The sequence below is a fragment of the Homo sapiens genome, chromosome 4, assembly GCF_000001405.40.
Source record: "Homo sapiens chromosome 4, GRCh38.p14 Primary Assembly".
NCBI lineage: Eukaryota > Metazoa > Chordata > Mammalia > Primates > Hominidae > Homo > Homo sapiens.
Genome location: NC_000004.12, coordinates 69,199,318 through 69,227,047, shown reverse-complemented (window position 1 = coordinate 69,227,047; position 27,730 = coordinate 69,199,318). Strand labels below are relative to the sequence as shown.

General features: G+C 35.8%; 1 protein-coding gene, 1 long non-coding RNA gene and 1 pseudogene across 5 annotated transcripts in view; 2 read left to right on the top strand and 1 right to left on the bottom strand.

Annotated features, from left to right (window-relative positions):
* Positions 1 to 2,063: 2,063 nt before the first annotated feature.
* On the top strand, positions 2,064 to 27,097 carry UGT2B11 (UDP glucuronosyltransferase family 2 member B11). 4 transcript variants are annotated; one of them, XM_017007660.3, is made up of 7 exons: positions 2,064 to 2,189; positions 2,335 to 2,445; positions 14,327 to 14,475; positions 18,566 to 18,697; positions 21,481 to 21,568; positions 22,399 to 22,618; positions 26,329 to 27,097. In XM_017007660.3, the coding sequence occupies exons 3-7, from the start codon at positions 14,353 to 14,355 to the stop codon at positions 26,606 to 26,608; spliced, it is 843 nt and encodes a 280-aa protein (XP_016863149.1). In that variant the 5' UTR covers positions 2,064 to 2,189; positions 2,335 to 2,445; positions 14,327 to 14,352; the 3' UTR covers positions 26,609 to 27,097. The 4 variants fall into 4 exon arrangements, with proteins under 4 accessions (XP_016863149.1, XP_047305499.1, XP_011529852.1 ...); XM_047449543.1 differs by lacking the exon at positions 2,064 to 2,189 and having other exon boundaries at positions 2,334 to 2,445; XM_011531550.3 differs by lacking the exons at positions 2,064 to 2,189; positions 2,335 to 2,445 and adding an exon at positions 12,300 to 12,794.
* Positions 10,281 to 27,730, bottom strand: part of LOC105377267 (uncharacterized) — a 34,668-nt gene continuing 17,218 nt past the window's right edge. The window contains exons 3-6 of the long non-coding RNA NR_136191.1: positions 26,470 to 26,576; positions 25,764 to 25,876; positions 15,901 to 15,982; positions 10,281 to 12,575 (exon numbers count right to left, since the gene is read on the bottom strand). This is a non-coding gene — a long non-coding RNA (uncharacterized LOC105377267). The remainder of the gene's footprint in view (positions 12,576 to 15,900; positions 15,983 to 25,763; positions 25,877 to 26,469; positions 26,577 to 27,730) is intronic.
* Positions 10,519 to 11,450, top strand: LOC100422021 (UDP glucuronosyltransferase family 2 member B4 pseudogene; annotated as a pseudogene).

Genomic DNA, 27,730 nt, shown 5'->3' with positions numbered 1-27,730 from the left:
TTTATTTGGCTTTACAGAATTTTTTTCCCTGAAGGGCCTGGTGTCTTTGTCCGTAAATAAATTTCAGGTCTGAAAACAAACTTAGGTCCAGACCCTTGACAGATTACTGTGATTTCTAGTGAGAACAGCTGCCCTCAACTTTTTAGTATCCATTCTTGAACTCTTCTGGTATTACAGATTGAGAAATTCCCTTGGTCACCTATCTGTTTTGTCCCTAGTGCTATCTTCTCTATTACTATGTACACAGCTTTCTAAATTAGGTCTTTCTGGATAATACCCCAGTCTTAGTGCTCATGTGTATTATGACCATCTCCCTTCTGAAGGTCTCTATTATTTCAATATCTGATCATAAATCGTATCAGTGAGATTGGTAAGTCAAAAAAGACCTATCAAAGGATAGACATGTTGAACATTCATTACAACCAGCAAATATTTGATAGATTTCCAGCACTGTATAAGATGTCTATGTCCAACAACGATAGACTGGATTAAGAAAATGTAGCACATATACACCATGGAATACTATGCAGCCATAAAAAATGATGAGTTCATGTCCTTTGTAGGGACATGGATGAAATTGGAAACCGTCATTCTCAGCAAACTATCGCAAGGAAGGTAAACCAAACACCACATGTTCTCACTCATAGGTGGGAATTGAACAATGAAAACACATGGACACAGGATTGTGGTAGTTAGGTTTTGATGTGCTGCTGAATTCGATTAATTAGTACTTTGTTGAGGATTCTTGTGTTATATTCATGATAGATATTGGCCTGATGTTTTCTTTTCTTCCTGTGTCTCTGCAAGGTTTTGGTATCAGAGCAATCTTGGCCTCATAGAATGAGTTAAGGAGGAGTCCCTCCTCCTCAATTTGTTGAAATCGTTTCAGTAGGCTGTCTAGTATTTATTTTTATATGTATAAAATAATTGGGCTGTGAATCTATCTGAATCAGGTCTTTTTTGTTTGCTGGACTTTATATTACTGATTCAGTTTCGGAACTCATTTTGGGTCAGTTCAGGGTTTCTATTTCTACCTGGTTCAACTTTGAGACGATGTAGGTGTCCAGAAATTTATCTGCTTCTTCTAGGTTTTTAAGTTTGTATGCATAGAGATGGTCATAATGGTCTTTGCAGGTAGTTTGTTTTTCCTGAGGTTGATGATGATCTCTTGATTGTCATTTCTGAGTGTGTTTATTTGGATCATCTCTCTTTTATTCGTTTGTAGTCTATCTAGTAATTAATCAATCTTATTTATTCTTTCAAATAAAAAACTTTCAGTATTGTTGATGTTTTCTGATTGTTTGGTCTCAATTTTACTCTAAAAAACCCTGAGCAAATTATGTATTAAAGGAAAATACTCCAAAATAATATGAGCCATCTGTGAAAACTCACAGTCAACAGCATACTGAATGGGCAAAAGCTCAAAGGATTCCTCTTGAGAACTGGAACAAGGCAATGATGTCCATTCTAACCATTGCTATTCAGTAGGGTATTGGAAGTCCTAGCCAGAGCAAGAGAGAAAAATAAAAGGCATCCAAATAGAAAGAGGGAAAGACAAACTATCTGTCTTCTCAGATGGTATTATTTTATACACACAAAACCCCAAAGCCTCTGTCCAAAAGCTCCTACTTCTGAAAAACAACTTCAGCAAAGTTTCAGAAGAAAAAATGTATGTACAAATGAGAGGAGGTTCCAGCTCGGTTTCCTGGGTCAAGTAGGGGCTCCGAAAACTGTGAAACTCACTCATTTCCTGCATTAGAACTTACTTTGGTCCTGGATGAATCATATTGAAGATATATGCTTAAAATATTCCTAACATCAGAATTTGTGCATGTGTTTTCTTCCCCAACGAAGCTATACACAGAGAAACTTTAGCTGTAAGCTTCCCTGTGTCTTTGCTCCCTCTCTCCCTTCCCCCTCCCCTGAAACTAAAAGGAATGTTAAAAGCCAGTTTTTCTATGACCAGCGGCCCTTGTCTGTGCTCCCAATTCCACTTCCTTGTAAACACAATTTGTAAAATCTTGTGAGATTCTGACTCCTTTGCCATGGTGCTGCCAGGTTATAAAGTAGATAAAACTTAAGTTACAATTCTGGTTTTCCTCAAGATCTAAGACATGTTAATTGTCTTTGTTTCTGGCTCTGGTAACATCTTCCCACACATGTATTTCCCGCCTTAAAGAGTTTAAAAGGTGAGCGAAAAATCTAACACTAGCTACCCGCTTGGGACCCCTTCCACGCTGTGGAAGCTTTGTACCATCACTCTGCTCGATAAAGCCTACAGCTTTTTTTTTTTTTCTCTCGGTTGATCCGTGTCTCTCTCTCACCCTCACCAAGGGCTGCTGCCACACCAAATCTTTGGCGTGGCTAAGGCAAGAACCTTTGGCATTACATTTTTGGTGAACCAGCCAGGAGGATCTCCAGGAAAGGCATTTACATCGTCACGTGGTGAGTATGATCAGACCTCTTTGGCTTGCAATTCTGTCCTGTCCTTCCTTAGAATTCAGAGGCTAAACCGGGCACCTCTGGGCCACTTAAAGGTGATTAGCGCGGCCATGAGACTAAAGACACCGGTGTCAGGCTCTCTGGAAAAAGGCTCTCTAACAACCCTGACCCTCTGGGTCTGGGAATGTTGGTAAGTCTGGATCCGGTTCATACTCTTTCACTTTTCATGGTGGTCCGGAAGTACACCTGGGAGTTATCAGCAGACATTCTAGTCACCCAGATTTCCTGGTTGAGACCATGGCCCCTCCAAAGGCTCTCCCTGCAAGGGTTACTGAGTGTGAGACCACCACATCTTCTGACCCCTTCCTCCTGGGTCCTAATGTCCGCCGGCCAGACTTCTTTCCTCATCTCGCAAGCAAGGTTATTCCCACTAGGCAGGATGAAGATTCTCTATTTAAAAGTCTTAAATTCTTGGGATGGTGCCCGGAAGATCCCTGTTCATGGTGCCCTCCGAGGATCAGGCATGTGTTTCCGTTCCATGGCCATTTTGAAGGGCCAGTTCCCCACCATAGTGTATGGTTCCCCACATCAAGACAATTTAAAGATAGGTCTGTAATTATCATATGGATAGTAGAAGCCTTAGGGCATTTCCTCCATTGCTCCCCAGATAGACTTTCCCCCTTGTTGGGACCTCTCAAGTACAATCTGTGGTGCATGGGTACAGCTCTTAGAGCCATTGAATTGCTATTTGAACCATTCAATAGTTGGTATTGGAAGGAAGAAAATATAGTCAGTTGGGACACAGATTACTGGACCACCGTAAGAGAGGGGCTTACTCCTTTGATGGGAAGTGGGGACAGAAGCCTAGAGTACAGCAGCTGTTCTCTCAGCCCTGGCCTAGAGAACATCCACCACCCCCTTTAAGCTTAATAAGCCTCCTGTTGCTAATTCAGAGATTTCTCCTTGAAGGACAATTTTATGGCCAGGCCCACGTAAATTGGGCCTTAGCATGCAGGCATCAGTGGTGCCTCAGTCCCAGGCCTTGCCACCCTGGAACAGGTAGGATGCATTGGCAGAAGGACCACAATAAATCCAACAGTCCTTGTGCTCCATTTAGTGGTCAGTGGGTGCACAGCAGGGACAACGGAAGTTTCCATCCTGCCGGTAAGCATGGTTAAATCCAGTAGATGGAGGGCTCAGGAAAAGTGGCCATGAGCTTTGAGCACATCTGGGCCTGACCTGTGGGGGACGCCCTAAGAGAAGATGAGTCCCAGGAATAACCAGCGGTGCGGGCATCCCTGTGTTTAAAATTCCAGATGGGCACCAAACCGGACACTCCCTTAAGATATATCCTGAATAACTGAGACAAATTCAACCCTGAAACCTTAAAAAAGAAGTGGCTGATTGTCTTCTGTACCACTGCCTGGCCACAGTATTCCTTACAAAATGGAGAAACGTGGTCCCCTGAGGGAAGTATTAATTATAACACATTTCTACAACTAGATCTTTTCTGTAAACAGGAAGATAAATGGAGTGATGTCCCTTATGTACAAGCTTTCTTTGCCCTTCGTGACAGTACTGACCTGTGCCAAGCCTGCAAGCTTTGCCCAAAGGACAGAGGGCCACAATTGCCTCCATACTCAGGGCCTTTTCCCTCAGCCCTACTCTCCTCCTGCACTGACTCTCCTCCATCCAGCCCCACTGAAGTGTTAAAGGTGCATCGGAAAGAGAACTTAAACTTGGGTGCTTATAAGGCACCCAAACTATGTCCCTTATAAGCAGTAGGAGGAGAATTTGGGCCCATTCATGTGCATGCCCCCTTCTCACTCTCAAGATTTGAAACAGATAAAGGCAAATTTAGGGAAATTCTCAGATGATCCTGATGACTGTATAGATGTCCTGCAAGAATTGGGGCAGTCCTTTGATCTCACATGGACAGTTATCAGTTGCTTCTTGATCAGACCTTAAGTCCTACTGAAAAAGAAGCAGCTTTAGCAGCAGCCTGGTAATTTGGGGATCTATGGTACTTTAGCCAGCTAAATGATTGAATGACCCTGGAGGAGTGGCAAAAATTCCCCACAGGGCAACAGGCAGTCCTCAGTGTAGACCCTCATTGGGATACTTACTCAGATCATGGAGACTGGGGCCGCTGGCATTTGCAAACTTGCATTTTAGATGGGTTGAGGAAGACCAGGAAAAAGCCTGTGAACTACTCAATGCTATCCACAATTACAAAGGGAAAGGAGGAAAACCCCTCTGCTTTTCTAGAAAGGCTAAGGAAGGCCCTAAGAAAGCACAGCTCCTTAACTCCAGATTCCGTTGAAGGCCAACTTATTTTAAAGGATAAACTTATCACCCAATCAGTGGCTGACATTAGGAGAAAACTCCAAAACTCTGCCTTAGGCCCAGAACAAATTTAGAGATATTATTAAACCTGGCAACCTCAGTGTTCTATAACAGGGACCAAGAGGAACAGGCCAAAAGGGAAAAGTGAGATAAGAGAAAGGCTGCAGCCTTAGTCATGGCCCTCAGACAGGCAGACCTTGGTGGCTCAGAGGGAATCAAGAGAGGAGAGGCCAATTGCCTAGTAGGACTTGTTATCAGTGCGGTTTGCAAGGACACTTTAAGAAAGAGTGTTCAACAAAAAACAAACCACCCCCTCACCCATGTGCAATTGGTGCACTGCCCCAGAGGATGAAGGACCTCTGGACCAGAAGCACCCACCCAGATGATTCAGCAACAGGACTGAGTGTGCCTGGGGCAAGCGCCAGCTCATGCCGTCACCCTCACAGAGCCCCAGGTAAGTTTGACCATTGAGGGCCAGGAAGTGGACTTCCTCCTGGACACTGGTGTGGCCTTCTCAGTTTTAACCTCTTGCCCCAGATGACTGTCCTCAAAGTCTGTTTCTATCCGAGGAATCTTAGGACAGCCTGTAACCAGGTATTTCTCTCGTCTCCTCAGCTGCAATTGGGAGACTTTGCTCTTTCACATGCCTTTCTTGTAATGCCTGAAAGTCCCACACCCTTATTAGGGAGGGACATATTAGCCAAAGCTGGGGCCATTATCTACATGAATATGGGGAACAAATTACCCATTTGTTGTCCCCTACTTGAAGAAGAAATCAACTTCGAGGTCTGGGCCTTAGAAGGACAATTTGGAAGGGCAAAGAATGCTCATCCAGTCCAAATCAAGCTAAAAGGCCCCACCATTTTTCCTTATCAAAGGCAATATCCCTAAAGGCCTGAAGCTCTCAAAGGATTACAGGATATTGTTAGAAATTTAAAAGCTCAAGGTTTAGTAAAAATATGTACCAGTCCTTGGAACACCCCAATTCTAGGAATACAAAAACCAAATAGTCAGTGGAGACTAGTGCAAGACCTCAGGTTTCACCTGTCTACCTTAAGGCATTTTTTTCATCTGTGATATCACAGCCTATCATGCCTAAATGGCACTCCGAAAGAACTGTGCTTTCTCTCCTTTCTAGCACCTCCCATGTCCATATATACTGAACAAGAGTTACAAAGTCTCCTTATACCCCAATCTTGCCACACGCGAACCCTTATTGTCCCTTTTATTGTAGGAGCCAGAATACTAGGCAGGCTTGGGACTGGAATTGGAGGCATAACCTCCTCCACACAATTCTGTTATAAATTATCACGAGAATTAAATGATGACATGGAATTAGCTACCGACTCTCTAGTGACCCTACAAAGCCAGCTTAATTCTCTAACTGTGGTAGTCCTTCAAAATCGGAGAGCCCTAGACTTATTAACAGTTGAAAGAGGAGGAACCTGCCTCTTCTTAGGAGAAGAATGTTGCCATTTCATTAACCAGTCAGGAATCATTACTGAAAAGGTCAAAGAAATAAGAGAATGAATAGAAAGTAGAAAAAAGGAGCTTGAACACTTAGGTCCCTGAAATATGTTTAACCAATGGATACCTTGGCTCCTCCCTTTTGTAGGCCTGTGACAGCCATCCTACTATTACTCGCTTTTGGGCCTTGCATTTTTAACCTCCTTGTCAAATTTGTTTTCTTCAGGATCGAGGCCATCAAGCTACAAATAGTCTTACACATGGTTGAGACAATCATGAAGAAACTCTGTTAGCACAGTGTGAGTGCAAAATGTGTAGTGTGAGCCCCCCCACCCCCAACACACCCACACAGAGAGTCACCACCAGAGCACTACCCAGTGGAGCCGTGAGAAGTGGGCCACCGTCCTCCAGACCACAGTATGATACATCCACAAACAGTTTAGACCATGCAACTGGAAAAACCACAGACATTCAATGCCAGCCCATGAAAGCAGCCAAGAGGAGACCTGTACCCTGCAAAACTAAAGGGTTGAACTGCCGAAGACCATGGAATCCCACCGCTTATATCAGTGTGACCTGTATTTGAGGCATGGAGTCAAAGAAGATCATTTTGGCAATGACTGTCCCCTGGATTTTATTGCCTTACCTGGATTTCGGACTTGCATGGAGCCTGTAGCCCCTTTGTCTTGGCCAATTTCTGCCATTTAGAAGGAGTGTATTTATCCAATGCCTGTTTCTTCATTGTATCTAGAAAGTAACTAACTTGCTTTTGTTTTTTAGGCTCATAGGCAAAAAGGACTTGCCTTATCTCAGATGAGACTCTGGACTGTGGACTTTTGAGTTAATGCTGAAATTAGTTAAGACTTTGGGGAACTGCAGGATTGGTTTTGAAATGTGAGGACCTGATATTTGGAAGGGGCCAAGGGAAGAATGATATGATTTGGCTGTTCCCTCACCGAAATTTCATCTGGAATTGTAGCTCCTATAATTCCCAGCTGTTGTGGGAGGAACTTGGTGAGAGGTAATTGAATCATTGTAGCGCATTTTTCCCATGCTATTCCCATGATAGTGAATAAGTGTCTTGAGATCTTATAGTTTTATAAAGGAGAGTTTCCCTACACAAGTCTTCTTGCCTGCCTCCATGTATTACATAACATTGCTTCTCATTTGCCTTTTCTCATCATTGCGAGGCCTCCCAAGCCATGTGTAACTGTGAATCTACTAAACCTCTTTCCTTTTAAATTACCCAGTCTCGGGTATGTCTTTAGTAACAGCATGAGAAAACGCTAGTACAGTATCATAAACTATAAAACCCTAGAACAAAATCAATAGAAGAGAACATAACTGAACTAAAAAGCCCCTGTGCAACAAAAGTAACTATCAACAGAATAAACAGATGACTTACAGAACGGGCGAATATAATTGTAAACTATGCATCTGATAAAGGCCTAATATCAAAAATCTATAAGGAACTTAAACAAATTAATAAAACATACACAAACAACTCCATTAAAAAATGGGGCAGGGACATCAAGAAAGAATTCTCAAAAGAATATATACACAGGAATGTGCTCAAGATGATCAACTAGATGCAGTCAGGAAGTGCCACTGCCACCAGGGGAACACCAGGTTTTTTTTTTCATACCAACATAATTTGAACAGATCTTTGGAGAGAAAATACTGAGTGTGGATGGAGGAAAGAAGTAGTCACTGAGGCTGAAGAGAAAGAAGGCTGAGGACGCTGAATGGGGTGCCTGAATACTACAGCTGGTTCTCTACCCTGAGCGGTTTCTAGGGAAAGGTGAGTCAAAGGAATAGTAGACAGCTCCCTCTCACTATAGACATCTGGAATTCTGGCTAGATGGGGCTCCATACCTTCAAGGACATGTGGACTGGCAGAGGGGTCTCCCAGAAATTGCACAGAGATGGAGCTGCAGACAAAATCCAGGGACTTTTGTGAATAGGTCCTTTACAGAGACAACTCCTATATAAGAAAAACTTGAAACAAAGGTGTTGCATTCAACTCTTTCCCTTCAGAGGATGCCCTACTCTGTAATGTCATAGCTTTCAATGAACTATCTTTTCTCACTGCACTCTGTGACTCACCTTGAATTCCTTCCTGTGTGGAATCCGAGAACCTTCTCTCGGTGTCTGAATCAAGGCCCCTTTATCTGGGAACACTTCCAAGGAGACTTTTCTGGCTTTCATAGTTTGCCTTAATTTGATGGTTATTAGTCCTCACTCTTCTATTATTTTATCCCAAGCATTAACTCTGAAGAAAAAAACATTTGCCTCTATTGTGGTCATAATTTCTACTTTTCCCATATTGATACATTTGTGATATATCCTAATAAGTAACACTTTCCCTTTCAAAAGATTACCATCATAATTTGCCATTACTGAAAGTATGAAAAATTTAAATTATCACATTCCAGGGTCTATTTGTGTTCTCCCTACCAATAGTGATAGGATTCTCCTTACAACTGGTAGTGAATGATCCAACTCTAAAATCTCATTTTGTTGTCTGTTCTTTTTTTCTGACCTCTCTTGGTACATATTATCAAATGCTGGGTGGCTCCAAGAAGTAGACTCTAAGCTGAATATGCTTTTGAGGAAGATAATTTGGGAGTTTTATTGAAAATAACACCTGTGAAAAAGTAGGAAGCAAGATTGGACTATGGAACAAATTAGGATATAATTCAATTCAATGGTTTGAATGTTTGAGTGCTCCAAAGATTAATATGTTAAAATTCTTATAACCAAAATGACTGTATTAGCAGACAGAACCTTTTAGGAGGTGTTTAGGTCACGAAGGCAGAGTCCTCATTAGTGGAATTAATTCCATTCCAAAATTTGCTCACAAGAACTCATTCATCTCTTTTCCCCATTAAGACATGGTGACGGGCTGCCATCTTGGAGGAATGCCCAATACCAGCATCTTGATTGTGAAAATTTCAGCCTCAAGAACTGTGGCAAATAAATTTTTTTTGTCTATATGCTAGGCAATGTATGGTATTTTTCTATATAGCACCCTGAGCATGCTGAGACATGCAGTCTCAGCATAGGTTTCATCTCACCCACTGGGAGTTTGAAGCTAAGTTAGCCCTTCAGAGTTGGTCCACATTGAAATGAGGAGAATTGGCCTTCAAAATCTTACATATGACCAGGCATTGGATATGGGCTGTCTTGGAAAGGTCACTTTATACTAGATAGCTTTCAGCAGTGCTGTTCTGAGACAGAGAGCTTATAGGTGAGGTATGTCAGTTGTTAATCACTTCATCAGCTGGAAAGTAATTTGTATATTCCCAAAGGGAAAATCTGGGTGACACATAATGCATGCACTCAAGGACATTAAAAATATTGAACAATATTGCCACTCTGCAGGCAATATTTGCTCAGAAACTGTGTTCCAACATCCTTTTGAGAAAGACTTATCTCATTTCAGGTTAACAGATTATTAATAGAATAAAAACAAATTTGTCTGTTTTGTGACATGCATCTTTTCCTTCCTAATTCTACTTTGATGTAAATTTCTGGTGAGACTTTTTAAAAGTACAAATTACCTGAATTACAAGACAATCTGTGAAACAAGTTCAGGAGTAGGCATTTAGAAGATAAATACTTTCTAAGAGTGAGAAACATAAGGAATGCTGCAAATATTCAGAAAAATAAAATATTGTAATTTAGACAAAATATTTGCAAATGAAGCAAAGTAACTGTAATTGTACTTAAAACATATCTGTTTGGATAAAAAGAAAATGAATTTCTATGGTCAGAAAAATAATGTCAGGAAACATGAAATGATGCTAATATCATAATTGTGAAAATACATAGAGAAAATGAAGACGGTCTATTTGAGAATGTTAAGATAAATAAGAATAGATCACACCCCTGCCTCATTGTTGACACAATGCTGCTTTCTTATACTAGAAACTCTTCATATACAATTAAATTATCTCTTGTTCTGGAGACAGCCATATTTACAATAAGAATGAAATTTATTATTCACACATGCAAACACAAAATCATTCATCCTTTTCTTTATTCACTTGCTTTCCAAAACCTCTATTGTCAATACTTAAATCATTGTGACATTGATTGATATTGATATGTACCAAGTTAGAGAAAGTTATAAAGAAAGATAGCATTTTAACAAGTTGTCTAAGAAATGGGCTTTTTTGTTTCTTATGCTGACAGTTGTATTTTAGCCCTGAATCCTGCGAGAATGTGCTGGTGTGGCCGATGAAATACAGTCTTTGTATCAATTTAATGTTGATACTTGATGAACTTGCTCAGAACACCATGAGGTAACTGTGCTTGTCACCTTCAGCTTCCATCCTCATTGATTCCAACAATCTGCTGTTAAATTTGAGGTTTATCCCACATCTTTTACTCAGAAGGAACTTGATTTCATATTTATGAAATTGATCAAGATGTGGACATATAAGTTTCCAAAGAGTACATTGTTGGCATATGATTCAAAGATGCAAAAACTACATATCATGAATGTTCTGATACTGTTCAAAAGCTCATTGAGTATGCTGTTTTGAACAAGAAAATTATGAGGAACAACAAGATTCCAGAATTTATGTCATTCTTGCAGATGTCAGTTCTCAGTAGTGAGCTGTTATCTGAACAGCTTAGTCTGTTAAACATTTGTTATACATTTGGTCTACTATCATCCATTTACAACTGGCAGTATGTACCAAGAACTCTGTGGAGGACTTACATTACCTCCTTCTGATGTAACTGTTGTCATATCAGAACTTAGTACCAAAACACATTTGTAGAAAGGTGAAAAATCTGTTGCATTTTCTTCATTTTGACTTTGCATTTGAGATTTTTAACAAAAAGAAGTGAGATTAGTTTTACAGTGAAGTATTAGGTAAGTTATTATTTAATTTATTCACTTTTCCCTCCAATATGTGGAAGGAAACCTTCCTTTTTTGGGTCTGTTGGAGTGTGTTTATAAATTAAAATAAAAAATAACTTTTTTGGTTATGTGAAAGACAAGGGTGGGCAAGGTTGTGGAGACATTGAAACCCTCATACATTGTTGGTGAGAATAGAAAATTATTCACTCACTCTGAAAAAGTCTAGCAATTCCTCAAAAGGTTATATTTACATTTACCACATAATTCAGTAATTGCCTTTCTAGGCATATCCCCAAGAAAAATAAAAACATGTCCACAGAATTCATGCACATCAATGTTAATCAATGCTATTCATAATGGCCAAAAGTGGAAGAAAATCAATATCTATCAACTTATAAATGAATAAATAAATTGTGTTTATAAATAGCATCTGATACAATTTGGCAATAAAAATGAAGTCCTTATTTACACTATTCTACGGATGGTCCTTTAAAAACATTAAACTAAATAAAAGAAGCCAGCCACAAAAGACCACATACTATATTGTTCCGTTTACTTTTAAAAAGATCCTGAATAGGTGTGTTTCTAGAGGCAGAAATTAGATTACTGGTTGCCTAGTGCAGGGTGGATGCAGAAATTTGGTGGGGAGATGAGAACTAATACACAGGAGTTTTTTGTTTTTTTAGATAAAACTGATTGTTACGTTGGATGCACAAGTCTGTGAATTTACTAGGAAATACTTAATTTTAAATACTAATTGATGAATCATATGGTATTTGAATTATACTCCAACAAAGATTTACAAGATATTCATTGAACCACGATATTCAAAAATGCTGTTTGCATTGTACAATCATTTCATCTCTTATTCTGTGTCAAGGGCTCTGCAGGACTCTCTCACTTGCCACTGTTCTTGACACTATTATAAAGTAGGTTACATAAAACAGGGTACTTGCAAGGTCATTAATCTTAGGTGGATGACAGTGAATATAAACATAAAAGAAACATAAAACATCCTTGAGTAAATATGAAGTAATCGAACTTTGTTTGTCTCCTTGCCATCCATGTACTCAGGATGCTCCTATAATATATTTACTTTGGATTGGAGGAGTTATATTTTAACTTGATTGATTTATCTCTGTATATAAGTATGAGAAAGAAACAGTGACTGGAAAAGAATGATCGCATTGCACCAGGATGACTCTGAAATGGACTTCAGTTCTTCTGCTGATACATCTCAGTTGTTACTTTAGCTCTGGGAGTTGTGGAAAAGTGCTGGTGTGGGCCGCAGAATACAGCCATTGGATGAATATGAAGACAATCCTGAAAGAGCTTGTTCAGAGAGGTCATGAGGTGACTGTACTGGCATCTTCAGCTTCCATTCTTTTTGATCCCAATGATGCATCCACTCTTAAATTTGAAGTTTATCCTACATCTTTAACTAAAACTGAATTTGAGAATATCATCATGCAACAGGTTAAGAGATGGTCAGACATTCGAAAAGATAGCTTTTGGTTATATTTTTCACAAGAACAAGAAATCCTGTGGGAATTATATGACATATTTAGAAACTTCTGTAAAGATGTAGTTTCAAATAAGAAAGTTATGAAAAAACTACAAGAGTCAAGATTTGACATCGTTTTTGCAGATGCTGTTTTTCCCTGTGGTGAGCTGCTGGCTGCGCTACTTAACATACGGTTTGTGTACAGTCTCCGCTTTACTCCTGGCTACACAATTGAAAGGCACAGTGGAGGACTGATTTTCCCTCCTTCCTACATACCTATTGTTATGTCAAAATTAAGTGATCAAATGACTTTCATGGAGAGGGTAAAAAATATGATCTATGTGCTTTATTTTGACTTTTGGTTCCAAATGTCTGATATGAAGAAGTGGGATCAGTTTTACAGTGAAGTTTTAGGTAAGAATTTGTTTAATCGGTAACGTGAAGATCTAACTTATTTGTGTCTTTGAAGCAGAGCTTTTATAAAGCCATAAAGTCAGGGAAGTGGAGTTTTTGGTAAGTGAATTTATGAAATGAAAATACAAGATGATCTATCAATCTCACAAACATTATAGAAAAGCTTAAATTATAAGGTCTGTTAAAACCCTGTGGCCATCACTCAAACAGAACACCCCAGGAAATCATAAACCTATATATTAGTACACCTAAGAATTTAAGCAATTACACATCTGTTTTACTATATAATGTTTTAGATCTTAAAAACAGTAAAATCCATCAAGTAACATCTTACTGAATGCATAGATATAGAATGAGTAATTACACATTTTTCTACAACTATCTATGTAACTGCAGAAAGTTTTCCTTGTAAATCTCAGTTTTCTTATTTAGATATTGAAAGATATTCCCATGTTTCCAGAAGGTTTCCTTCACAGTAGAGAGAGATAATGTCTACATCTCAGATGCAAAAGTCAATAAGGGTGATTTGAAGTTTCTAATATTTCTATACTCCCTAACTAAAGAATTGGAAATCATGCATTTGAAGTCCAATTATCTTGTTGAAGTGTGAAGGTTGTTATATCTATATAGTTTATTGAAACCATGTCTCTTTATTTAAAAATATGAGACAGATTAAGGTTGAGTACAGTTCTCTATTTCAATAATTTCTCAAAATTTCTAGCTATAATTTACAAATATATTTACTTAAATGATAATATTATTAAGATCTTAGCTCAAATCCAAATGAATAGTTGGTACCAGGATTTCTGCCATACACTCAAAATAGTACAGAGTTCACTTGAACCAAAGATAAAAGGATTAGCTTAATGAGTTGTGTAAACTGGACTGTTAGAAAATTGGTTTTATGGGTACAGTAGAATTAATTGATTATGGAGCTCAAAGAGTTGTTTAAATATCTATATGCAACTATTGAAGCTTTAAAGAGAAAATAAATTGATGTTTAATTATCTATGACTTATTTTAATAATTGTGAGTATACTGACTTGACATTAGAGATGTCGCTTAACCTCATAATTCTCCCACCACTTTGCCTTTCTTATAAATAAACATGGACAAAATATATAATACATAATAATATATTATTCATATATATTTATATATTTTTCAAAGCACATAAACTTTACCTACATCTTTGCTTACATTGTTCTAACCTTTTTCAGAAAGGTATGTAAAGTAATTATCTTACATCATCCACTTTTTCTTTTCTTTATTCCTGTCAGGAAGACCCACTACCTTATTTGAGACAATGGGAAAAGCTGACATATGGCTTATGCGAAACTCCTGGAGTTTTCAATTTCCTCATCCATTCTTACCAAACGTTGATTTTGTTGGAGGATTCCACTGCAAACCTGCCAAACCCCTACCTAAGGTAAACATACTTTTGTTGGTTTTATTTTGTTGGCTTCGAAGTTTCAGTAGAAATGAGTCTATAGTTTTCATTCAAAATGTTTGACTTACACTGAAAGAAAGATGGGAAGTAGGTGGTGTAAAGCAGATACTAATTAGAAACTCATGTATATGTTAATACCGTCACACGTATGTGAGTTTTATGCATATTACAAATAGAGAGGAATAGTAAGGAGACTTTGAATGTAGGGTTGATTAAAGTAAAATGTTGATTATGCAACACCTAAGAAGGTATTGGTCATTCATTCAAATAATACTTATAAAAGGATTAGCACAAAACACAAGTAAGTGCAGAAATTTCAGAGAAAAAAAATAGACACAGTTTCCGTCCCCACATACCTTACATTCTACTTTGATATATAGAAAAGTAATTAATGAAAATGTTATAAAAAACTATTATCTCAAGGAAAAACCCAATGTCAAAAAAGCATCAGTGGAGATAATAGAAAGTATCCTGGAGTTACTGATTAGTAAGATGAGGGCTAAAAAATATGCAGGAATAGGTAAAAGAATGAAGGGGAGGGGCAGACAAAAAGGGAAAGCAGATAAAGTGGTCAGGACAGTTCTCAAGTCCTCAGGTTTTGTTTTCAGGGAATGACTAAGAATGAGATGATACTAAGAGGTAAATTAGAGCCGGATACATATTAGTAGTGGAAATATTTCTTAAGAGTATTGAAAAACTACTAAAAAGAGTTAAGAAATAAATATATATGAAACGATTCTCTTTTTTAAGAAAAGCCTCCAAGATATTCAATGGATTAAATTACAGAAGGGCCACACTGTAAAGAGCTAACCATTCAGGAAACTTTCCATGGATTCAGGTAACAGATGATGGAAAAGTGGACTAGAATGTTGATAGAAATCATTAGGCCCACATTTACAGAAATAGTGCCAACTTCATATTGTGTTGTGTGGAAAAAATATTAAAACAGACAAAACACTTAAAATGTCTCTGGCATATAGTCAGTGACTCAGAAATGTTATTAATTTTGTAATTATGGTTATTTTGTGATTATTACTAATACTACTAACTACTTAACATGTGCAAGTCACTTGAGATATCATTCCTCATTTAAGAGAACCAGATTATTCAGCACATCAAGGTTATATTCTCTTGCAAAGTCATAGATGACAGATACCCTGTGGACTTGATTAAAATTATACATACCAATTGTGACAGTAAGATGAGCTAGTTGAAATTCTAAAATTCTACCATAAGTAACAAGGATCTTCACCAGTATTCCAGCTTAAAACTCTTCCTCAACAATATAAATGTGTACCTCAAATATGTGCAGACAAACCCAGGGTTCACTTGACTTTAACAAAGTATTTAAAATCATTTCTGCATTGAGATCCCAGAATTTTACATTTTAGAGCATAAACATACCTATTAGAGCAGATGATGTCTGCCTTATGACAAGCAAATCAGTAAAGCTTTCTGGATGAACTTGTCTCAACATCATAGGTGCCTGACAGAGAAGCACAGAGATAGTGAACAATGCATGCATAATAAAGACGAAATAATTTCTACCACTTGTATCTGAATAGTGCCCTTAGTTTCAATATGAAGAAACTTCTGTCAGCATATAAGATTATATTCTTTTTGAAGGAACACAAGAACCTCACATATTTTAAATTAATATCACATTTTAAGACATATGTACAAAGTAAGCATTCTTCAATGCATTATTATGCAACCTCTTAAAAGAACGTTTTTGCTTACATAAAACTGAAATTTTATTCCATTGTTAAAACTCAGTATCTCTGTTTAATGCAAATTGTATGGGCTTTATATAGTCACTTTCTCAAGAGAGAAAAGCTGAAGTAAGACTAATGAAAAATCTATGTCACTCTACATTACTCTTGAAAGATTTCCCCATTCACATTAAGGGAAACTGACAGTGCAAATTGGAGGAGGAAGAGAGTAGGAGGTGTAAAAGGACAAGAAAAAAGGTTGACTAGTAGTACAATAGTGGTAATTACTAATACTAGGTCTTGTTATTAACTTGCAGAAAGCTTTGAATGCAAGTCAACGGTTGTGAAACCAGCTATTTAACTGTTTATTATGTAAAATAATTGCTAACCCAGGTTGCATTCTTTTCAATTATATATTACATTCTCAGATAATTTCTATATATTTTAAGAGAATAAGACACTTGACAAACTGCATCAAGTGTTTTAAAAATGCGTAGTTATTAATTTTATAATATATTCACGTGAAATCATAAAAAAATCAAGGTGCACCTATTAAACCTTATGGAAAATATTCACAAAATTAACATTACAAGTAATCCAACATCTTATATGAAAGAATGATTAAAATGTATGTGCATACAATAGCATTAAAATAATTTTATCAATGAAATGTTCAATTACACCATCAGCCATAGTACAAATAAAGTGAGTTGGAAAATGATAAATATAACAAGATGGAAGTTTTCGCAGGATAAAATGTATATACAATAAGATTAAAATTTTCTAAATAAGTGTCACATGTATACATTGACCTATATAAATAGGACAAAATCCATAATAAAAAATACATATTTTCTATAAATAATATCTCTAGGTAGAAATTTTAGAAAAATTATTTTTTAAAAAACTTTTCATACTTTTATACAATTTCTTACATTAATTTTGTATTATTTTTATAATATTATCACAAAAGGAGAAACAACCAGTCAATATCAGTGATGAATCTCTAAACAGAGATTAGATTCCTTCAACACCTAGTAGAAAAACAAGGCTCTGATATCAAGCCAGTGAGATGAAACACTGAAAACGAGTTACATTAAATGTGGCTACAGGTAACTGCAATCACACGCAACACCTAGAAGCCCCAGGTATTACGTGGAATAGTAGTACAAGGACTCTCACGTTAATGTAAGATTAAAAATCATATTTTAAGAAAACACTCTGCCATATGTGATGCACTGTTTACATTTAGACGTTTTTTTCTTTGTTTTGTTAAAAACCATTTGGAAAAGTTTTACCCCAATGATTAAATCTGAAAATACTTAAATTTAAATATTGGTATACATTGGGGAACTCAAGTCAGAATAATTCTCAATCAATGGCAGCCAAGCACATCTTCACCAGCAGTGTAATGTGGTGTGTGTGAGCTACTCAAAAGAGAGACAAGATCTCTCCTGAAGAAAGGCCTGGTGGCCTCTCCTATTCTGGTGCCAGTGCTGCCTCTGAGACACAACAAAGTGATGATGAGAGTTCCTCACATGCAGTTAGAAATAGCACATCAATTTAACAGTGTGATTTCAGGGCAATAGGTGCTCCACCTAAACAAAAACCCAAAAGGTACAATTATTCAACAACTAACTATAAACTCTACAATTCCATATGATAAATGAGACTCCCAAGACTGATTCATAAAAATTCCAAATCACAATACTAGACTCAGGAATGTCAGTGATTCTTAACCACCAGCTTTTATTTTCATTTTTTATTTTTTGAAAAACTACTGGAAAACTCTGACAAACTTTAAGTGAAGCATAAAGCATTGTAGAGGAACATAAATGTAGATATAAAATTATCCCAACTGTGAATATCTTTTCCTCAGTGCTCATATTTAGGGAAGTAGACCACTAATGGCTTCAAACTAAAAGAATTCTACAGAAAACATGCCTGAAATAAACACAAGTGATTTAGTAGAACAAAAACATAGGATTAAAGCCGAGTGGTGCCACTATTCCAAGAACTTATATTAGTAATTATAGTATTATAAGTGAAGGGTCTGGGTATATTTTTTAACATTATCTCCCTGACTACAATGTAATAGCTCCATTTCTTTCCTCCATTACACACATGCAGACACATACATACATATACACACATATTTACACAAATATCCTTAACAGAGGCCAACTATCTCAAACATCTTCTTGCAAAGAAACTGAATGATTCAGTTAAAAAATATTATTAATTCCAATAATTCCTCAAAATACTTGATTTTCTCTCTTTAATATTTGGTACCAATTCTTTCAGTAGTGCCTGCTGTGGTGATACTCTTTTGTGATGAAACAATTTTTTTTTCACAGGAAATGGAGGAGTTTGTACAGAGCTCTGGAGAAAATGGTGTTGTGGTGTTTTCTCTGGGGTCAGTGATAAGTAACATGACAGCAGAAAGGGCCAATGTAATTGCAACAGCCCTTGCCAAGATCCCACAAAAGGTAAGATAAAGGGCCTTACTGGTGTGGAAAACTGCTGAAAGAGGCTGTTAATGTTTGTGATCTACATAGAAAGAATATTAAGAGTAGAGTGAACTCTTTACATCCAAATACATCCTTAAATATGCTTATGTTGCTTCCACCAACACAAGTAATAGTTGTGCCTCAGACTTAGTGGTTACATGTGGCCCTGGGGGAGTTACTACCCTTGGTATTCATGAGTGGCTCCTATTAGTATCAGTGGGAACTCAGTACTCCGTAGGTATCCACAACAGGGAACTTGAGACTCATGGTTATTTTTAATTTCTGATATTAAGAGTCATACATACTGCTGAAATTAACTGAATATATTTCAGGTAAGTGAAAATGGTGCCTAATGTAGTCTTTAGAATGACTTTCAAGTGTTTTCAACTAAAAATATATATCCAGAACTGCATCTTTGTAGAAATACAAGGAAGACTTATGATCATTTTCTTCAAAGCTGTTTTGCTAATCTCAGCAGTATCCAATGAGTGAAGAAGATTTCACTTACTCTTGGGCCACCTCTATTACTTACCGTACTCTGGAAGCTCTTGGTGAATGTTTACAATTAAGGAATGTACTATTTCTGTTTGTACTTTAAGTCAAATGCTTATGTGAAATATGTGACAACAAATAGAGAACACTGCCTGAAGCAGGAAGATGAAAGAGAAAGGATGGAGATGGATCCTGACCTGAAGGTGGATCCTGTACAGTATAAAATATGGTCCCACAAGGACTCAGCACTAACTACCAGATTAACAACTCCTCCCAATGGAGGCAGCAGAAGGAAATATAGGAAGGAGTCAAACAGAAGGAAGAGAGGCAGGGGAACAGGTTCAGATGTCCCCTCCATAGAACATAGTAGGAATATATTTTCTTCTGTATAGAGTAAACCAGGGACCTTTGTGTATTTGTGAATGACTTTTTAATTTCCTATCTGATAAAGCTTTCTTGTAATGACCTCTAACTTTTTGCTGAAACCTGAGTTACTTTAACACTGATGTAGCAAATAAAAGTTAAACACTGCAAATTATTGTTCAGTTTGTGAGGATTGCTTTGGAGTTTCAAAATTAGTAACTTAAAATAAGAATGTCTTGGCTATAGCAGAACATATTAATCACTGTTGACAAAGATTTGTAGCACGTTATCTAAGTGTTAATAATCAGTTGACCAAATTTAGCAAAGTACAATTTTGAGTTTATTCATTAGCTTTATTTTTATTCATGATACCAAAAGGTTCCTCATTTCTAGGCCAAAAAAAAATCCAAAATTAACAATAATGGTAATATTCTGAATTTGTGTCAAAAATTGTCGCTTGAAATTTTTCTGGGAAATAGTGCTTGATAATTTGTAATTCCAATGAAGTTATACATAAAATCTTGGCAGCATTTATTTAGTTCTTATAAGTAGCTTATTTTATAGACTTGCTATTTTGTCAATCAAAGGACAACAGGCTCCAATATAATAACCTACCGACAAGTAGATACATTTAAACTACTTCTCATATTATTCAAAAATAAACGAATACATTACAATTAAATTTGGAGATGAAAACTAATATAAAATACATAAAACAAACATACAGGTCATTACTAAATAGTAACTGTTTTATTACACTAGAATTACAATCACTCCATATAATTTTTTACACTTTTTTTGTAATATTTTTATTTTTTAAATTAAATTAATTTAACTTTTATTTTTAACTTTTAAGTTCAGGAGTACATGTGCAGGTTTTTTACATAGGTAAACTTGTGTCATGGGGGTTTGTTGTACTGATTGTGTCATCACTCAGGTATTAAGACTAATATTCGTTTATTATTTTTCCTGATCCTCTCTTTCCTCCCACCCTCCACCCTCCAATACATCTCAGTGTATGTTGTTGCCATCTATGTGTCCACGTGTTCTCATCTTTTAGCTTCCACTCATAAGTGAGGACATGTCACATTTGGATTTCAATTCCTATGTTAGTTTCCTAAGGCTAACGGCCTCCAGCTCCATCCTTATCCCTGCAAAATACATATTTTTGTTTTTTTTATGGCTGCATAATATTCCGTAGTGTATATATGCCATATTTTCTTTATTCATTCCATAATTGATGGTCATTTAGGTTGACTGCATGTCCTTGCTATTGTGAATAGTACTGCAACTAACATATATTTTCATGGATCTTCATAAAAGAACCAGTTATAGTCCTTTGCTTATATACCCAGTAATGGGATTGCTGGGTTTCATGGTATTTTTGCCTCTAGGTTTCTGAGGAATGGCCACACTGTCTTCCACAATGGTTGAACTAACTTACATTCCAACCAACAGAGTATAAGCATTCCTTTTCTATACAACCTCGCCAACATCATGATATTTTTTGAATTTTTAATAATGGCCATTCTGATTGGTGTGAGATGCTATCTCATTATGGTTTTGATTTGAATTTCTCTAATGATCTGTGATGTTATTTTTCTTCATATGATGGTTGACTGCAGGTAGGTCTTCTTTTAAAAAGTGTAACAATTTTTTGAATATTTGAACTTTTCATTGATAGTCTTATTTTTCTATGGTACTGTTTTGGAAAATCATGGTTTCTTATATATCTAAATCATTATAAAAGTTAAGAAAATAAAATGTGAGTATTCTTTTTACATCAATCTTTGAGTAGATTTATTTACTAACATCCCTTGATCTCATTCCTATGCTTTCTACAGTTCTAACATTCTATAATTTTTGAGTTCCACTCATGGAATAAGATATTCTCTTTACTGTAACAGGTTCTGTGGAGATTTGACGGGAATAAACCAGATGCCTTAGGTCTCAATACTCGGCTGTACAAGTGGATACCCCAGAATGACCTTCTAGGTAACACTCTGGTGAACAAATACTGGATATATTAGTAACTGCACATTAGAGGGTTAATGAAACATGCTTATTGAATATTTGTTATAGGAAAACAAAAAAGAACTTCTTTGTATTTATTTTCCAGTCCTAGGGGAAAAGAATATGGTAGAATTGTTGGCATTTTATGATATATAATCACATTCTTTATGGTCAGAATCAGAGATAATCTTTATTTCAGGTGCTATTATATCTCACAGAATTTTTCAATATCTTCCTGGGCTGTCTCTCTGTCTCCTGTTTCTACAATTTTACACCTGTTTTCTCCTCTCCTGCAGGATTATTTCAAATGCCAGTAAATATAATAGCTCTTCTATCACCAGTAACTCTGTATTTTCTGGAGGACTAAATTCCTAATCTTAATCTTAAAGTAACGACACATTTCATGATGAAGTGTGACCTGTCTTTCCTCAATCCTAGCACCACCACCAACCCACTGCCTGCTGCCTTGCATACCCCGCATATCACACTCTGTGACTGTAGTTAAAATAAAACTTTATTTCATGCCCATCTCTTTGCTGTCCTCTTTTGTGCACATTTAAAAAATCTAGAATGCACTTTTCATTAGTCCAACTGAAAATCTTGTATTAAGTTTTGCAGTCTGAAGTCACACACACCACATAGCTTTCAGTTACATCTCCTAAACAAGTACGTGCTTTTTCATCTGAAGTCTGAAAAGTAATAGCAAATTAGTTCAATGTGTTATCTAGAAAACACTGTCACTTTCAGAACCTTTCATTGTGCATCTCATTTTATTCCTATGAATAATTTTGCTAAAATTCATCCAATCCTAGGTCATCCAAAAACCAGAGCTTTTATAACTCATGGTGGAGCCAATGGCATCTATGAGGCAATCTACCATGGGATCCCTATGGTGGGCATTCCATTGTTTTTTGATCAACCTGATAACATTGCTCACATGAAGGCCAAGGGAGCAGCTGTTAGATTGGACTTCAACACAATGTCGAGTACAGACCTGCTGAATGCACTGAAGACAGTAATTAATGATCCTTTGTGAGTAGAACAATGTTTTTCACTAGGTGGTATTTGTGGACAGCTTCTCTTGTCAATAGTGAGCATGAGTTTCATCCTTTTTATAAGAGAGTAATCTTGAAAGAATTTAAATGATATAACCAATCTGAAATCTGCTTTGTTTTTATCATCTATTATTTAAAAATTGTGTTTGAATCCCATACATCTAATGAGTAACCAGTTAGTGAAGCAATTTTCTAAACAAAAATAATTTTAAAATGATATAGATAATATAAAAAATACATTTCTTAAAATTTTAACATGAATCCATAGAAGAAAGGAAGAATAAACTTGAAATAATATAATAAAATGTTTTAATTAAATATCTAAAATGACTCAGAATATAACTATTTTCTTGCTGAAAAATTAATTTTTATCATCATTATTTTAACAGACTTGAAAATGAGATTTAATTTCGATAGCTTAAAATCCACCTATTTATGCCATAAAATCCAAATATTTTTACTATGTTTACAGTCATTAAAGTATCACCATTATATATATAATTTTAGAACATTTTTATCAACACAAAAGAAACTGCAATGACACCAAAATCACTTCTCATAACTGCTTAGTCCTAGTCTAACACCAATTTGTTTTCTTTCTCTATAAGTTATTCTCTCTAGATATTTCATATAAATGGAATCATACAGTCTCAGGTGCTGTGTAAATGACATTTCACATAGCCTAATTTTTTGTTGTTTTCTTATGGTTTTTATTTTACTTCATATTGTTGTGTGTTATAATACTTCATTTCCTTTCCACTTGTGTAATATTTTATAGTATGGATATGTCATAATTTAGTTGTTCATTTGTCAGTTCATTGGCCTTTTGATTGTTTCCAATTGTGGCTACTAGGAATATTGCTATACTTGTTTTTGCATAAATATGTTTTACTTTCTTTTGAGTTGATACTATAAGTGGAATTGCTGCCTCATGTGAGAACTGTATGTTTATGGAGAACTGCTAAACTGTTTTCCAAAGTACTTGTTGCATTCATCACTACCATCAGCAGTACAACATGGTTCCAATTCCTCCACATTGTTGCCAGACCTCTTATTTTCTTTTTGTTACAACCTTCTTAGAGGGTTTAAAATGATCTCTCATCCTGGTCTTGGATTGCATTTTCATTACTGCTGAAGATGTTGAGAATCTTTATATGTGATTGTTGACCATTCATATATCTTCTTAGAAAACATGTCTATTCCAATGCTTGGAACATTTTTAACTTTTCTATTTGTCTTATTATTAAGTTTTAAGAACTATTTATATATTATGGGACAAATCAGATATATACTTTTTAAATATTTTGTCCCAATCTTGGTGCACTAACTTTTTACTTTTTGATGATGGTCTTTGAAGCACAAAAAATATAATTTTAAGTTAAATTTTTAATAATTGATTTTGTTCACTCCCCAAAGATAACAATGTGAAAAATTACCTGCGGAGTCCAGCTACCATCAATTCAGCATTTATAACTACTCTCAATAAAGTTTTTGTGTAAGGAGGGTATCATCTAAAGGAATACTTTAAAAATACTTTATCCCAAAGAAAATGGAAGGATAACGAATGATCAATGTACCTTTAAAGAAGATGGGAAATAATTGAAAAGAAACACAAACCACCTTGGACAAATAGAAAAGAAACATAAAACAATGTGGTAGATTTAAATGTGATTATACAAATACTTTCACTCAATCTAAACAGACTTTTAATAAAGGAGCAAATAATGAGTAAGGACATAAAACATTTGAAGAACACAATTAACAAATGGAGTCTTACAATCTAAAATGACATACACACATATATACATATACAATACACATGTATGTATTGTATATATCAACTTGAAGACACATTTTCCTAGAGTACGTCAAATATTTAATCTTTCCTTGAAGTGATGTGTGGTGGGCAATAAATCAAGACTTACGAAATATAAAAGATTCAATATCATGAAGACTATATGATCCAGCCATATTGGAAATAAAGGAGGTTAAAAATACTATTACTAAAATATCTTTAAATTTTGGAAATTAACAAAATACACTTCAAAAAAATTTACAGTCAAGAAGTAAATCATAAGTTTGCATGCACTTTTATCTCAGCAATTCTACTCTCAATTATATACACAACAGATATACATAAATATATAAATCTCATGCTGTATAGCAGAGTGTTCGTGACAGAATTATCAACAGTGTCCAAAAATTGTTAGCAACCCAAATATCTATTCATCATAAAATGAAGACATAATCTGTGGTTTATCAATCAATGGAATGCTACATAGTAATGGAATTACCCAAGAACTGCTACATTAAAGAAAAAGACACTTTTGAGTACGTATTATGTAATTCAATTACATAAACAAGCAAAACTAATGTTGTTATTCGAAGTCAGGCTAATCCTTAGTTGGAGGACAAAAGTAGTCACTAAAAGGTTCAGAAAAAGAGAATTATTGTAGGCAGGTTGTGATAGCTTATACCAGGACCTGAACAGTAGGTAAATTGGTATCTTCATCTCAAGATAATGTTCAAGATGATCTTCCATTTTTGAACTATTCACTTAGTGTATGTATATTTATCTTTTGTGTTTTATATTTAAATGTATATTTTATGAGATATATAAATCATTTACAAAATTCTAGGAATCAAATAGAAAATAAGGACAGAAAATAGAGAAAATCCTGGAGGCTCCATCATTGTCCAGTAAAAGCCTCTCTTAGAGGTAACACTTAGAGCCACAAAAAGGGACAGACACATGCCTTGGGTTGTAGCAAGAAAGAATACTCCAAGAGCAGGAGAGAAGGGTCAAAACGTGTAAAGTTCTAAGATGAGAACACCTTTGGAAGCTTAAAGAAAATTAGAAGGCCAATCTAGAAGACAGTGTGCAGAGGAAAAGTGTTAGAAAAAAGCTTGCCAGTGTCTTACGATGTAGGGTTCTGTAGACCAAATAACAGAGTTGAATTTTATGATTAAAAGAATGAGAAGCCAGCCAAAAATCTTAATCAGAAGAGTGCCATAGTCTGACATTAATTTCAAAAAATCATTCTGGCTACAGGGTGGGAAACAGTAGGAGACAAAAGAGTAATGTAGAAGAAAAGTGACGAGCTATGAGGTATGTCACTCACCTTGATAAAATTCCTTTTTAGGAACTTACAGATGATAATTCTCACATCGCATTTTCATAGTCTTTCTTACAGCACTTAAAATGGCTCATGATGCTGAGCATGTACTCATATGCCTGTTTGAGAACTAAGAATGTAATTGGATTTTTCATAATACAAAGAATAAATGCTTAAAGGATGAATATCCCATTTTTCATGATGTGATTATTTCACATTGTATCAAAACATCTCATGTACCCTATAAATATATACACTTAATATGGACCCACAAAAACTTAACATTAAACAATTAAAAGCCAGTTAAAATGCCTTATATTTTCTCTGCTTGAAAAAAATTAACTTTCTCACCTGACCTTCCATTTCTGCTTTAAAAATGTTTGTCAATGAGAAAAGTCCAATTTAAAAGCCAAACTATCTATGATAACTCAAATTAAAATACACAAATTCTCTGTCAATTCTTTGACATTTATTTTGAATTATTTGATGCTTTAAAAGCCTTTCATAGACTTGATATGTACAGGCAAATTAACTTACTTTCAGTGTTGGTATCCTTATTTTTATCCTTCAGATATAAAGAGAATATTATGAAATTATCAAGAATTCAACATGATCAACCAGTAAAGCCCCTGGATCGAGCAGTCTTCTGGATTGAATTTGTCATGCCCCACAAAGGAGCCAAACACCTTCGAGTTGCAGCCCATGACCTCACCTGGTTCCAGTACCACTCTTTGGATGTGATTGGGTTTCTGCTGGCCTGTGTGGCAACTGTGATATTTATCATCACAAAGTTTTGTCTGTTTTGTTTCTGGAAGTTTGCTAGAAAAGGGAAGAAGGGAAAAAGAGATTAGTTATGTCTGACATTTGAAGCTGGAAAACCAGATAGATAGGACAACTTCAGTTTATTCCAGCAAGAAAGAAAAGATTGTTATGCAAGATTTCTTTCTTCCTGTGACAAAAAAAAAAAAAAAAAAAAAATTTTCAAATCTACCTTGTCAAGTAAAAATTTGTTTTTCAGAGATTTACCACCCAGGTAATGGTTAGAAATATTTTGTGGCAATGAAGAAAATACTAGGAAAATTAAAAAATAATATAAAGCCATTTGAGCTCATATTGAAATTTGTTGCACTTATATTGAGATTTGTTGTTTGAATTCACAAGTTACATGAAAAAATTTACTCAGCTTAACTATATTTCACACATTTTACATAAACACAAGAACATTAAGAAGTCTACTGACAGTATCAGTAGTCACATCCTCAGAATAATTTGGCTTCATTTTGAACAGGATTCTGTTGTTTTAACTGTTGCTAAAGAAACTATTACATAGTTAAATTGTATATAAAGTCTCTCTCTTCCTTTTGATATTTTGAGATAAGTAGTATTCCTTTACTTTTACACTGCATGCAGCTTCATTGTCACATTTTTTGCTAAAATTGATGGCCAAATGTTTACTGTTTTAAGAGCTCATGTCATTTCTCAGTGGAAATTATGTGGAATTAGAAATATAGCCACTCTTACCTGCTTCCTACTGTAAAATTGAACTGTTTTGCCACATCTTTGGTTTCATGAGCAAATTCTATTTTTTCCAGATATGTAAAAATATTTGTCTGGTTGATTTTATTCTGATATTTTTAATTACTTCAATAGTTATTTGGGAACAGGTGGTGTTTGATTAGATGCGTACGTTTTTTAGTGGTAATTTCTGAGGTTTTGTTGCACATATCATGTGAGAAGTGTACCTTGCACTGAATGTATAGTCTTGTATCTCTCACCCCCTCCCGGCCTCCCATCTGAATCCTTAGATCCCATTACATCATCCTTATGCCTTTGCATCCTAATAGCTTAGATCTGACTTAGAAGTGACAATTGATGATGTTCAGTTTTCTATTCCTGAATTTCTTCACTTAGAATAATGCTCTCCCACTTCATGCAAGTTGCTGTTAATGCCATTAGTTTGTTTCTTTTTACAG